A 13,782-nucleotide genomic window follows, 5' to 3' on the forward strand; every position below is an offset into this window, starting at 1 on the left:
TAATAAGAACTCAATAATATGAGCTATTGTTTTCATTCTAAGAACAAAAGAGGGCCCCTTGGTAAAGACTTCACTCTGGAGAGGCAAGAAACTGAGAGCCAAGTTTCCCACCTGGTGCTCACCCAGCTCCTCCCAGCCACTGCTCCCTGGGGGTACACAGCTTATTCTCTGCTTGATGAAAGGTCTGCCTCTCTAACCTTCCCTGGAGCCAGGCAGGTGGCACTTGGCTTTCAGCATGCATCTCAGCAGGCAAAGTAAACAGAGGGTGCAGAGATATCCATAATGCTGTAATTAAGCAGAGAAAGGTGCTAACTGCAAATCCGGAGCTCCAAATGTCCTCCAAGGGGTAGTTAGGGCTGTGTAGAATCTGTTAACTGGCAATAACTTTGAAAGGAGGGTTTGCCAGAGAGAAGCCAACGTCGACATAGATCACCTGCAGACAACCGTAGGCTGACTGTGCATCCAAGCTCATTTGTTTTAAACTGAAAGCTCTGAGCCAAAGAGTCCAGCCTGGGATTGAATTAATGATGAGCATGAATGAAGCTTGGCATTGCTTCCCTCACAGACAGGCAGGCAATCAATGAATTTTTCATGTCTTGCTCATGGTGCCATTTTCTCTGCCAGGTTCTCAGACCACCCTTGGTACGTGGGCTGTGAGGGGTGGGGTTGGCTGGAGAGGGGAATGACTTTATTCTCTACTTTCTCTACAGTCACCCACAGCAGACACTTTGAGAGTGTCTGCCCTGTTCACAACAATCTCCTCTTAACAACCACACCCCCTTAGTTCAGCAGGCATTTGGTGACGTGTGATAACATGTGGCCTCTCCTGTGGCTATAGGTGACTGCTTTGCAGTGGGCTCTTGACTCACATTGGGCCAAGCAGAGTCCCTTCCCTGGGGATGTGGAAGTGGAACCCAGTGAGAGAGTTGTTCTTGTGGCGTGCCTGGATCTTCACCATGCATTCCTGATAGCTATGAGGGGGAGTATTTTTCACCAAGAAGCAGAAGAGAATATTCTAGAGGGAGAGGGAAAGAATGAAGCAGAAACATCAAAGCAGAGTTGAGAGATGGAAAGATAATCTGGACTTCCTAAGTGCCAGTTCTGGTCCCTTTCTGAGAACATGTGTGTTTCCACCCCTGAGTTCTCAAAGACATGTCTATATCCTTATAAATTTCCACCTTCTACTGAAACTATTAGGTTGGTGCAAATGTAATTGCAGTTTCAGGTCATGAATTTTAAATCATTATAACCAGGCTCAAACACATCTTTATTAATCAACATAGGAACCACTATAATCAGCACAGTTTTGCCAAGGAGAAATAAATTTGTTTTTTCTTGTAGCATAAAAATCTGTGTTTTGGGATTCGATGAACTCTTGGAAAGCATTTTCTGTTTCCTGCTGATTGTGGAAGCTGTTTCCCTGCAAAAAGTTGTCAAGATGCTTGAAGAAGTGGTAGTCAGTTGGCGAGAGGTCAGGTGAATATAATGAATGAGGCAAAACTTCATAACCCAATTAGTTCAACTTTTGAAGGGTGGGATGTGCAATGTACGGTTGGGGATTGTTGTGTAGAAGAATTGGGCCCTTTCTGTTGATCAATGCCAGCTGCAGGCATTGCAATTTTCAGTGCATGTCATCAATTTGCAGAGCATACTTCTCAGATGTAATGGTTTCACCGGATTCAGAAAGCTGTAGTGGACCACACTGACAGTAGACCACTAAACAGTGACCATGACCTTATTTTGGTGCAATTTGGCTTTGGGAAGTGCTTTGGAGCTTCTTCTTGGTCCTTCCATTGAGCTGGTCATCATCAACTGTTGTAGAAAATCCACTTTTCGTGGCACATCACAATCTGATCAAGAAAGGGTTCATTGTTGCGTAGAATAAGAGAAGATGACATTTCAAAATGATGATTTTGTTTTATTTTCACTCAGCTCATGAGGCACCCATTTATTGAGCTTCTTCAACTTTCCACTTTGCTTCAAATGCCAAACAATCATAGAATGGTCGACATTGAGTTCTTCAGCAACTTTTCGTGTAGTTGTAAGAGGATCAGCTTTGATGATTGCTCTCAGTTGGTCATTGTCAAGATCCAATGGTTGGGCACTACACTCCTCATCTTCAAGCTTCTTGTTTCCTTTACAAAACTTCTTGAACCACCACTGCACTCTACGTTCACTAGCAGATCCTGGGGCAAAGGCATTGTTGATGTTGCAAGTTGTCTATGCTGCTTTATGACCCATTTTGAACTCAAATAAGAAAATCACTCAAATTTGCTTGCGGTCTAACATCATTTCCATAGTCCAAAATAAACATAAAATAAATGACAAGTGATAAGTCATTAGCAAAAGACATAAAGTGAGAAATGCCCATTAAATTGATATATAACATAACCACATTTATTTAATAATGTATTCCAATATCAAATGGCAAATGCCAACAGTGCAAAAACTGCAGTTACTTTTGCACTCACCTAATAGGACAGATGTGGTTTTCCGTTACTTGCATAATGGGTTCACAAGTTTGAGAAGTTATTTTGTCCCGTTCACCCTCCTTCTGGGACCAGCTGAGCTTTAGGGTGGGAGAACACAGCACTGAGAAGGAATGGCACAGGCCTCTGTTCTCAAGGGCTGAACTGGGGCTGGCACACCTGGTGTCTGGGCAGGCAGGTCAGGCCCCATGAATCAACCAAGCCTGGAGAAAGCGCCCCTCCTGCAGAGACCATCACTGCTACTCAGCTCTATCCCATTCTTGGCATCAGGATATGTGAGATCATTGTGGTTGGATTTTTCTGATATTTCAACGGTACAAGGAAGTTTGGACTATTGTGTAAAACTTACTGATTTTAGAATGTTGCAGATAATTTTTTTGAACGTTAAATACATTCTGAGAGCCCAACTGAATATATCTATGGGCACTGTCCAGCCTGCAGCCCTCCAGTGGAGGGCTCTGCCAGGCCCATGGGGGGATGGAGCCAGACGTGTGTCCGGTAGAGGGATTCTGCATGGCTTTGCTTTGGGATACTGATGGGGTGAGGGGTGGTGGCTTCCACTACAGCTGTGGTGGTCCCATGCAGCACCTGAAAAGGAGCTGTTCCTCTGAGGACATGCTGGTGAGGCTGGACATTAAACACTGTGGCCTTGAGTGCATCAACAAGGGTCCCCTGAGGCCAAAGCTGTGATGGGAAGAGAAGACCACTGGGAAGGACATTTATGTGGCCCACCCAGAAAAGAAGTCTCTGATAAGCGATGGAGAACCTGAAATTGACAGCAGGGTAATGAAACAGAAGGAATGATGCTCCACAGGATTTCCTGTTGTTATCAAGGAACCAGCTCCCTGCCTGCTCCCTAAAGACTGGATGAGCCTGAAATTCTTATACAGAGAACAAAGGATGAGTCCTGGTGCTGCCTGACAACAGACATCCAGCCAGCCAGGCAGGTGCGGGCTGGAGCCAGTTTTAAGTTGATTAGAGGAAAATATAAAAATAGGACATTTCTTAACCTGAGAATTGTGGGCAAATTGACAATGGTTATACTGGCCACCAGCAAATCATAATAGAGATATTGCACTAGAGCTTTCCCAGTAAGGCTGTATCAGTCAGGGTTCCACCAGGAGAACAAATCTCACTCTAGGTGTTTAAAACAGAGGCAATTTAGTCAAGGTCTTGGTCCCCAGATAGAAGAGACCAAGATGGCCATCAGGGCTTAGTGGGCAAGTGCAGGAAGCCTCCACCATTCCTAGGCTGGGAGGACAGCACTGGCATCACCTAGCAGAAGCTGGAACATCGGTAGGCCTATTGGTGGGAGCTGGAGCCATGTGGGGAGGGAGGATGTAGCTGGCCTCAAAGACGTCCCCTGAGCAGACAGAAGAGTGGAGTTCCCCGGTTTGTCCTTTCGACTCTCTAGTATCCCACCAGTGCCTCCAAATGACTGAGCTTCAGTGGATACCAGCTAGAATGGGAGCCTGGAAAATATTCTCCAAGCATTGGCCTCCCTGAGCTGCAGAGCAGAGCAGGGGAAGGATGAGAAGTGGACCTGAACAAATCAGGGGAGGATGGGCAGACACACCACAGAACATAAAGAATGGAGAACATTCTAGAAGCAGGAGTACATGATACCGCACTCCTATTTCCAGAGGTCTCTCCTAACCCGTAGCTATTCCCCACTCCTACCTGGCATCTACAGGTTCTTAGCCAGACATGGCCAGATTACCATGCTAGTGAAGAGAAGGAGGGGAAAGAACAGCTACTTATGGCCACTCCAGAACTGTCAGTTGTATGACAGGAACTATCTAAAAAGCCTTACGCTGCTAATCTCATTTATGACTTTTTAATTTTTTCAGAGAGAGGGTCTCACTCTGTCACCCAGGCTGGAGTGCAGTGGTGCAATTACGGCTTACTGCAGCCTCGACCTCCTAGGCTCAAATGATCGTCTCGTCTCAGTCTCCCAAGTAGCTGGGACTACAGGTGTGTGCCACCATGCCCAGCTGATTCTTTTTTTTTTTTTTTTTCTAGAGATGGGGTCTTGCTGTGTTGTTCAGGCTGGTCTTGAACTCCTGGGCTCAAGCAATTCTCCTGCCTGGCCTCCCAAAATGCTGGGGTTACAGGTGTAAGCCACTGCACCCAGCCATGCTTATCTTATTTGGAGTAAGGGTTAGTTTCTCCTTACTTCACAAACAGGCTAACAGGACTAAAATGGACAAGACGTAGGCATATACTTTTGGGTATGAAACCACAGAAGTTACTCACCAGGATGTTGGGTTCCTTGGTTTTATACACAATTTGCTTTCTTTAGGACTTAATCTGGTCCCCAGATGCTTTTTATTTCGGCAGTCAGGGTCCTGACCAATTCATCTAATATTACCACTCGTATTTGTGTCATGAAAAATTTGTATGACAGAGGACAAGCTTGTGAAGGTATCAGATGTATAAGTATGGCTAAATGGCTGATTAGAGTTTGTAAAACATGCCAACCTCTGTCTCCCCCTTACCTCCTCCTCCCCAGCCCCCGTGCTCTCCCACAGAGCCTGAAATATTAGATGGATAGTGGTTGGCAGTTTTAATTACAGGATGTCTTTTATGGCTATCAGTCTTTCCAAGTTCTTAGAGTTAAAGAACACTGATGGTTGTTCATGTCATCGGTTGTGGTTGGAGTCCCTGGGGAACTGTGATGGATTGGTTTTGTGGCCTTTGCTTCAAATTCCTCTCTGTAAACAGAGGTCTGGGTTAATTGCATATGGTGGAGCTGGATGTGGGATTGGGATTAATTTCAGCCAATCTCATTTCCAACCACTCCCCCGACACACATCCTCACTCCTACATGAGCCGACCTCCTGACTGTCACTTCTAAACCCACCATGCCCATCCTTCTTGCCTGCGTTTCTGTTGGCCATTCCTTCAGCTTAGGACAGACACCCTTCCCATTTTTCTCTGGAAAGCTTATTCTTCAAGGCTCAGTCAGGATCCTCCATGGAGCTTTCTCAAAGGAACTCCATGACACAATAGCACAAATTCTGCCAGTACTCATGGCATACAATCAGCCTCATCATTAAGAAGATATCTTTACTGATACATCAAATGCACAGTATCAGGCATCGAGGTGTCAAAGGGTTGGAAACCATGGTCGCTAATTGTTATGTGTTTACAATCTATTTGAGGAAACAGCACATTCATTTATTCATTCTGTAAGCACTTACTAAGCAGCTACAAAGTGTAGGCACAACACCAGGCACTAAGAAATACTTATAAATATACACAGATAGGAAACATTAAGCAACAACATGAAAACATGCAAATGCTAAGTAACAAATAAGTTAGAGTATTATCCAGCAGTACAGTACAGTTGTTTGAAATGAGACAGAGAGAGAAAAAAGAACTGAGACTGGAGCCTTTCTCTTCCACTTGGAGCTGTGTGACCCTGGGTGAGACATTTAACTAAGGCTACCAGGCAGGCACATGGCCGGTTGTGTCCTGTCCTTTGTGCTTGTACTAGAGGATGTGTGGGCTAGAAATCCATCCCCAGCTCTGCTCATCAAGCTGTGCTCTCTGGCTCTGGGGCCACAGCAGCCCAGAGGAAGGGGTGCTTTTTGTAATTCTCCTGCTCATAGTGGATGCCAATTTGAAATTCACTCTCCAGGAACAGATATTTTCTTCTTATTCACAGAAGATACCACAGAGCTAGCAGAACCCTCCACTTCACCTCTCTGAGCCTCAGTTTTATTTACAAAATGGGGTTAATAATATCTACTCTAAAAGCTGGTTGGGAGGATTAAATGAGATAATACATGTGACTGATTATGAATCTTTAGTTGGAAAAGAATGAAGAAAGAAACCCAACTTAAACTGAAAAAAAAGAAAAGAGATGCTTTTGTGTATACTGTTAGGAAGATCATAGAGGAAGACCCAGGATCTCAGGGACTAGAAGTAGGGCATGTAAGTCAGAATTTAGGAAACCAAAACCATTCCAGTCATCTCAAATAGAAAATAATTGAATACAGGAATTGGGAGCTTATAGAATGAGTGGATGAGCTAGAGGAGCAGAAGTCAGGGGCCACATTTGGTGTATAGATTTCAAGGGCATTACCAAGGCCGCGTCTAGTTCAGGGATCAGCGAGCCTCAGTAACTGCCACCCTTGCTGCTACCAACAAGGGCCATGCATGCCTGTGAAACTGGGGACTAGACTCAGAACACTGAATATGTAATTAAATAATAGACACAGAAGTCCCCCTGGGAGGGCTCTAAAGATGGAAGAGCTTGTTACGGGCAGATCCACATGCAAGTCCTAGCCTCTGGGAGGCCACAGAAATTCTCCAGCCCACATGTGCAGAATGCCAGAGGTAGCCTTTCATGGAGTCTCAAGGGTAAGGCAGTGAAATGGAGATTGCACCTACATTTTCCCTCACATCTTGGAAGTCACCCAAAGCCTTCAGGGGTGCTACAGGCAGATCCAGTGAATGATGATGGGGATAGCAGGATGAAGTATCAGCCCTGGCTGGAAGGAGGGCAGGAATTAGCAGTACAGGGTGATGTAAAAAGCTCGGGCTGGACAGTCAGATGAATCTCAGTCAAGTTCCTGTTTCACGCGTCCCAGCTCTTTAACCTTAAGGAGCTGTTTGAAAACCTCTCCGGGTCTTAGTGAACTCAGTGTAAAATGGAAGCCACTAGGCAGTTGTGGGGCTGAAGTGAGATTGTGTCAGGGCAAATCTAGCAGGAAGTTTATGTACCAGGGTGCCTGGCACACAATAAATACTCTCTGTAAGTGGTGATTACAAGGTTTCTTATAGAATGCATAGCCCTGCTTCAGGGTAATAGCAATGGCACAGTATTCACTAAGCCCCCGCAGGAACCCCCAATAAGCCCAGCTCACCCACAGTGATGACATGGCCACAGCCTAAACTGGAGAGTCTATTTGGGTGAACAGCAAAAGCTAATGGAGAGAGAGAGAGAAACCAACCAACCCAAGCCATCTCTTTCTGATGGGCCTTACAACCTAACCTCCTAGGAGCATCTCTCAGACGGTCTGGCTGCTAAATCACCACCACCGCAGTAATTGAAACAGAAAATCATGCTCTACAGAACAACCTAGCAACACCACCATTAGCAGCTGTGGTTTTTCGTTGCGAACTGGGGAGCTAATATGCCTCTTTATGTGTGTGCTGGCACAGTCAGATATATATCTTCACCAATATTTCAGTAGGGATGGGGCCCTTCCTGCTCCTTCCTTCCACCCAGTGATATGTGGGGCTGTTCATTCAGGGTGCCCAAAAGGAATAGTAAACTTCTCCATGTTATCTGAGGCTGCTCAGCTCTGTGGCTAATACAAGAGGCTCATATCCTCCGTCCCTTCCTTCCTTCCTCCCTCTGCCATCACTGAGCTTACCTTTGTATGGGGAAACAGAAATTAAACAAATAATCACACAAGTCTATAACTAAAAACTGCAATTTGTGCTCAAATTGGGAAAACTTTGCTTTCCAGGGAAACCTGGTATCTTTGGAAAGAAGAAGGAAGATTTATCTGAAGAAATTCTGAGAGTGAAAAGGTGCGGGTATAAGGGAGAAACAGGAGAATGTTCTAGAGATCTACAGTAAGTGCAAAGGCCCTGAGCCACGAGGGAGCTTAGTGCTTACAAGGAGCCTAAAGGGCACTGGTGCCAGTGGAGGCTGTGGGAGATGGCAGAGTGTGAGGCATAGATCTTAAAAGTAATTGGAAGACTTTCCCGTATGCTGCTGCTAGACTAATCATAATGCCTGGGTCTGATTTTGTTGCTTTCTTGACCCAAATTTTTAGTTGTTCTTATGATCCATTACAGTGGTTCTCAAGGAGAGAGAATTATGCAGGTGTAGGGGGTGTTTTGCATTTCACAATGATAAAGATGTGCTACTGGCATTTGGTGGAGTAGGGATGGGGTTACAGAGCATAAGACAGTCTGTAATATGTGGGATTGTCCCACATTATGGATTTTTATTCTACATCCCATGTAATTTTTGTTTGTTTGCTTTGTTTTGTTTTTTTTTTTTGAGACACAGTCTCGCTCTGTCACCCAGGCTGGAGGTCAGTGATGTGATCTCAGCTCACCGCAACCTCTGCCTCCCGGGTTCAAGTGATTCTCATGCCTCAGCCTCCAGAGTAGCTGGGATTACAGATGCGTACCACTACGCCCGGCTAATTTTGTATTTTCAGTAGAGTCAGGGTTTTGCCATTTTGGCCAGGCTGGTCTCGAACTCCTGACCTCAGGTGATCCGCCTGCCTCTGCCTCCCAAAGTGCTGTGATTACAGGTGTGAGCCACTGCACTCGGCCCATCCCATGTAATTTTGAGTAGACTGAATGTTCCTGAAAACCCTATTGCAAGTTATCTGAGCTATGGTGGTTTTAGTATATGTCTGCAAGTTTGTTGATACCTCTTCCTTCAAGGCATGGAGCCTAATTCCCCTCTCCTTGAATGCAGACCAGACTTAAAGACTCTCTTCTAAGGAAAAGAATGTGGTAGAAGTGATGCTATGTGACTTTTGAGGCTAGGTTGTAAAAGGAAGAGCTTCGGTTTGTCCCTCTCTCTGGGATTGCTCACTCTGGAGGAAGCCAGCTGCCATGGTGTGAGGACACTCAAGCAGCCCTGTGGGGAAATTTCACAGGGAGAGAGGCATCCTACCAACAGCCAGCACCAACTTGCCAGTTGTGTAGATAAGCCACCTTGAAAGTAGGTCTTGCAGCCCCAGCGAAGCCATCAGATTATTCTAGACTTCAGCCTTTGAGTATTCCAGCTATGGCCCTGGACATCACAGAGTCAAGCTCTGTGTCCTGTTCCCTGTCTGAATTCTCCAGCTACATACTAGCACAATGTTTTTTTTTTTTTGCATGGGATCTTAATATGTATTATAGATTCTAGAAACACAGTGACTGTAAATCAATGGATAGTTGCACTTAGTTATGTTTGAACCTTTGCCAAAAGTTTTTCTCCGCTTCAAAAATAACATTGCCAATAGCAAATCTCCTTAAGGTATTAGAGTCACCGAAGCAATACGCCTGTTAACAGTCTACAGTTGCAGCTCTCGCCACCACAGTGATTCCTCGTGTGTGAATATTCAGCTGAATATTGCCTTACATTTTTTATATTCAAATTTTTCCATTATGAGTTGCAAACATCTGACTACTTCATTATATCTCCTAATAAATCCAGGCCTATGCATATGATATTGTAAATGACATTTCTTTCTTTTTTAGACTAGACTTGGGCCATTATACTTATTTTTTAAAATTATGCGAGTAGGTGGGTTATATTGAAAAGATGAATTTCATTTCAGGGTGGTAAAGGGGCATTATAAGATATTCATCAAGAAAAAGAAGGTGAGACATGACCAACTGCTAGTGAATATTTTATTGACTTAGGAAATGAAGATCAGTTGTTCTCTTGCCCCTCAGCAACCTTCCAGCATGATTCTTCACTGTTTCATTACGTAAGCCATCTTCTCTAGTTCAAAATGGGCCTTCTCACTATTCCCCAAACAGACTCAGCACATTTCTGTCTTAGGGTCTGCCATTTCCTTACATGAATTCCATCTCTTTTCTTTTTTGTCTTTCAAAATCCACCGATCTCTGATTTAAGTGTTCCTTCAACAAATAAAGACAGTGTGCCCCTGGAGGCCAGACCCTGTGCTGTGTCCGAAGTCTCCTGTGAAGAGACACAGGCCTTGGTGTTTCCCCAGAGCCTCCGGTCTGTCCAGGAATCTGACCCTATGCAATTACAGTGAAGCTTGATAGTGGGAAATACTGAATGCCCACATAGAGTTGGCACCGAGGGAGCTTCATGCAAGTGAAAAACCTGTTTTGAGTTCTCTGTGCTGAGTGCTCTGTGCTGTGTGCTGTAGTGTATTTTGAAATATGTCTGCAGAGAGCACAGTGGTCCCCGCCTAGTCCTGAAGAGGGTGAGTGACAGGTAGGCTGGAAGACCACCCGATGCCGAAAACCTCTCCTCTTTCCAGCCTGAATAGCTCCTTAGCTTTTAATGTTCATTTTGCATGCACTTTGCCTACTTCCTACAAATTATATTGTAGGGCTTTGCGATTAGGCACTTCCATTATCTCCCCATCTCTTGGAGCGTCCCTCTAGAAAAGGTAGTCTTGGGAACTGAAGTAGGCCTGGAAAACTGGAGAATTAGACCTGGTTTCTCTCTGGTGGCTGCCACATGTTAAAACTGGTGAATCAAGAGAGAACACAGAGTCTGTGTGACCTGGTTGCAGGTAACGGAGGCCACTTGGATAAAGACTGCGGTCTCTTTCCCAGAGGTCTCCCTGCAGCTCACCTGGTTGTAACAGCTGACAGGGTCTGACTGCCCTCTGCCAGCACGCAAGGCTCATTTATGTGTGCCCAGCACGGTGGTGTGGCCTGCAGCCCCTTCTCTCAGCACTGACTCCATTTGCATTCCTCATTACTGACCAGACTTTGAAAACCACACACGTTCATAACACATGCACACACAGCCCGTAGGATCAACCTCTCAGGGATGCGCTCAAAAACATGCTCCAAGAAACAGCCTGAAGGAGACACTGCTGAATTTTTGTCACGTTGTGAGAAAACAGATTTTCTAGAAGCACCAAGCAAGGGGAAGGTCCCTGCCCCCCATAGTTCTTTCCAGAGCAGCCTGGAATTTGGAGGGCAGCCAAACAGATGGCAGTTTCTGGCCACTTGAGGGCACTCTGGAATTCTGAGACCAGCAGGGAGCTGATGTGTTGGGCTTTTTTTTTCTTTTTTACCAGAAATGCAATCCCAGCTAGCCATCAGCAGACAATCTAGAAATTAATCCTCAAAAAGGAAGCGGTGACAAATGGGTTTTATAATGAGGACTTGAAGCCAGGCAGGGCAGAGGGCAGGCGCATCAGAGGTAAAGCAAAGGACTGCAAGTTTCACCGCAGGTGGGAAACAGTCAGCCTGGGTTTTGTTTGCCATTGCTCAGAAGAAAGAGTTCAGTTAACCCAGTGGTTCTGAACCGGGGGCGATTTGTTGCCCCACAGGGGACATTTGGCAATGTCTGGAAACATATTTGATTATCACAATGGGATGTGTGTGTGTGTGTGTGTGTGTGTTAGTTGCATCTAGTGAGCAAAAGCCAGAGATGCTACTAAACATCACACAGCGCACAGAGCAGCACCCCCAACCCTGGGAGCAAAGAATCCTGTGGTCCTGATGCCCAGGTTGAGAAACCCTGAGTTAACACAACAGCAGTTTTAAGCCCTGCCTGCTCAGTGAGCAGGAGGTCTGCATTCCAGTTCTTTCCACAGTTTCTAGCCTGTGCTGAGCTGAATGGTTTCCCAGGAAGTGGTCTAGTTTTGCAGATGCTGTCACGATTCATAGAGGAAAAAAAATTAAAAATCAACCTGGGATTTTTACTTAACCCCACCCCACCCCCACCCCAAATCCTAGGTGGGGGTTTCCCTTCTAGCAGACCCGGGGATGAAGATTGTAGTCCAAGTAGTTTATTTGGAAAGGAACCCCAGGAAATACTCATGAGGGATTGGGGGAAGTGAGGCAGGGAAGGGAAGGATGCCAGTCTGAGATGTGCCCTCCAGTAAGTAACCACTGTGGGCAACAGGGGCATGATCCTGCTGAAGTGTCCTGGGAGCCAGTGTGTAACACGCACCTGTGCTGCAGCTGTCATCAGCCATTGGCTGAGGGCTGTAGGGTAGGATGGGATGGGGAAAAGACCCTGGGGCATGCGTTCTCTGGTATTGCAGCTCGCCTTGTTAGCAGAGGGAGGGGTTCTAGCTGTTCCAGAATGCCCTCAGCAGTGGATAAGTGCTGGCCAAGGCTAGAATACTAAGGCCTGAGGAACTATGAGGGGACAGATGGCCTCTACTCTATCCTCCACCACCTCAAGGAGTGTCCCAAGTCCTATAAAGACCCACTAGTCCTCTGTTTCAGTACAACAGCTCCCTCTTTTGACTGTGCTAGGATGCACCACGGTCACTTAATAAAGGACAAGTGGACAGTAGCAATGCCACAGTGAGGACTCTAGTGTCTTGGTCCCTCAGGCAGACACCCTGTAGCATTAGCCAGTGGCAGATTGGACTACAGTGTGTACGGATCACAGGAGGAAACGTCAGCATCAGGGCTCCTGGCAGGAGCCAAGGTGAGGCATTTGGAGTTGACAGGACTCTACAAAGTCTATGTCTACCCACCTTTAATGTGTATAGGAATCAATCCCCCAGCGCCTTATGAAAAGGCAGACTTGCAGCCCAGCCAACATGGTGAGACCTTGTCTCTACTAAAAATACAAAAATTAGCTGGGCGTGGTGGCATGCGCCTGTAATCCCAGCTACTCAGGAGGCCGAGGCAGGAGAATCGCTTGAACCTGGGAGGTGGAGGTTGCAGTGAGCCAAGATCACGCTCCTGCACTCCAGGTTGGGTGACAGAGCAAGACCCTGTCTCAAAAAAAAAAAAAAAAAAAAAAAAAAAAAAAGGATAAAAGGAAAAGAAAAGGCAGACTTGGATTCAATGGGCCTAGGGTGGCTGTACTGGACTGTTCTTGGATTGCTATAAGGAAATACCGAGACTGGGTAATTTGTAAAGAAAAGAGGTTTAATTGACTCGTGGCTCTGCAGGCTGTGTAGGAAGCATGGTGCAGGCATCTGCTTCTGGTGAGGCCTCAGGGAGCTTTTACTCACGGTGGAAGGCAAAGCTGGAGCAGGCTCGTCACATGGTGAGAATAGGAGCAAGAGAGCGCGGGTAGGGTGGTGCTACATGCTTTTAAACAAGCGGATCTGTGTGGACACAGAGCAAAAGCTCACTCATCATCATCACCAAGGAGATGATGCTAATCCATAAATGAGGGATCTGCCTCCATGTTCCAAACACCTCTGTATTTGTCCATCCTCACACTGCTGATAAAGACATACCTGAGACTGGGTATTTTATAAAGAAAAAGAGGCTCAATGGACTCATAGTTACACATAGCTGGGGAGGCCTCACAATCATGGCAGAAGGTGAAAGGTGCATCTTACACGGCAGCAGGCAAGAGAGAATGAACACCAAGTGAAAGGGGTTTCCCCTTATAAAACCATCAGATCTGGTGAGACTTATTCCCACCACCACGAGAACAGTATAGGGGAAACTGTCCCCATGGTTCAATTATCTCCCACAACAGTGGGAATTATGGGAGCTACAGTTCAAGATGAGATTTGGGTGGGGACACAGGCAAACCGTATCAACCTCTTACCAGGCCCCAACCTCCAACACTGGGGATTACATGTCAACTTGAGATTTGGAGGGGACACAGGTCCAAACCATATCAGCA

At 46.0% G+C, this 13,782-nt stretch overlaps 1 annotated feature.

Moving 5' to 3' along the window:
* Positions 11,331 to 11,480: a silencer, noted in NCBI's record as "silent region_14524". NCBI's record gives its function as "represses an Ori minimal core promoter by ATAC-STARR-seq in GM12878 lymphoblastoid cells {active_cell/tissue: GM12878}" and the evidence as "EXISTENCE:reporter gene assay evidence [ECO:0000049][PMID:35858748]".

This window comes from Homo sapiens, chromosome 3 (assembly GCF_000001405.40).
Source record: "Homo sapiens chromosome 3, GRCh38.p14 Primary Assembly".
NCBI lineage: Eukaryota > Metazoa > Chordata > Mammalia > Primates > Hominidae > Homo > Homo sapiens.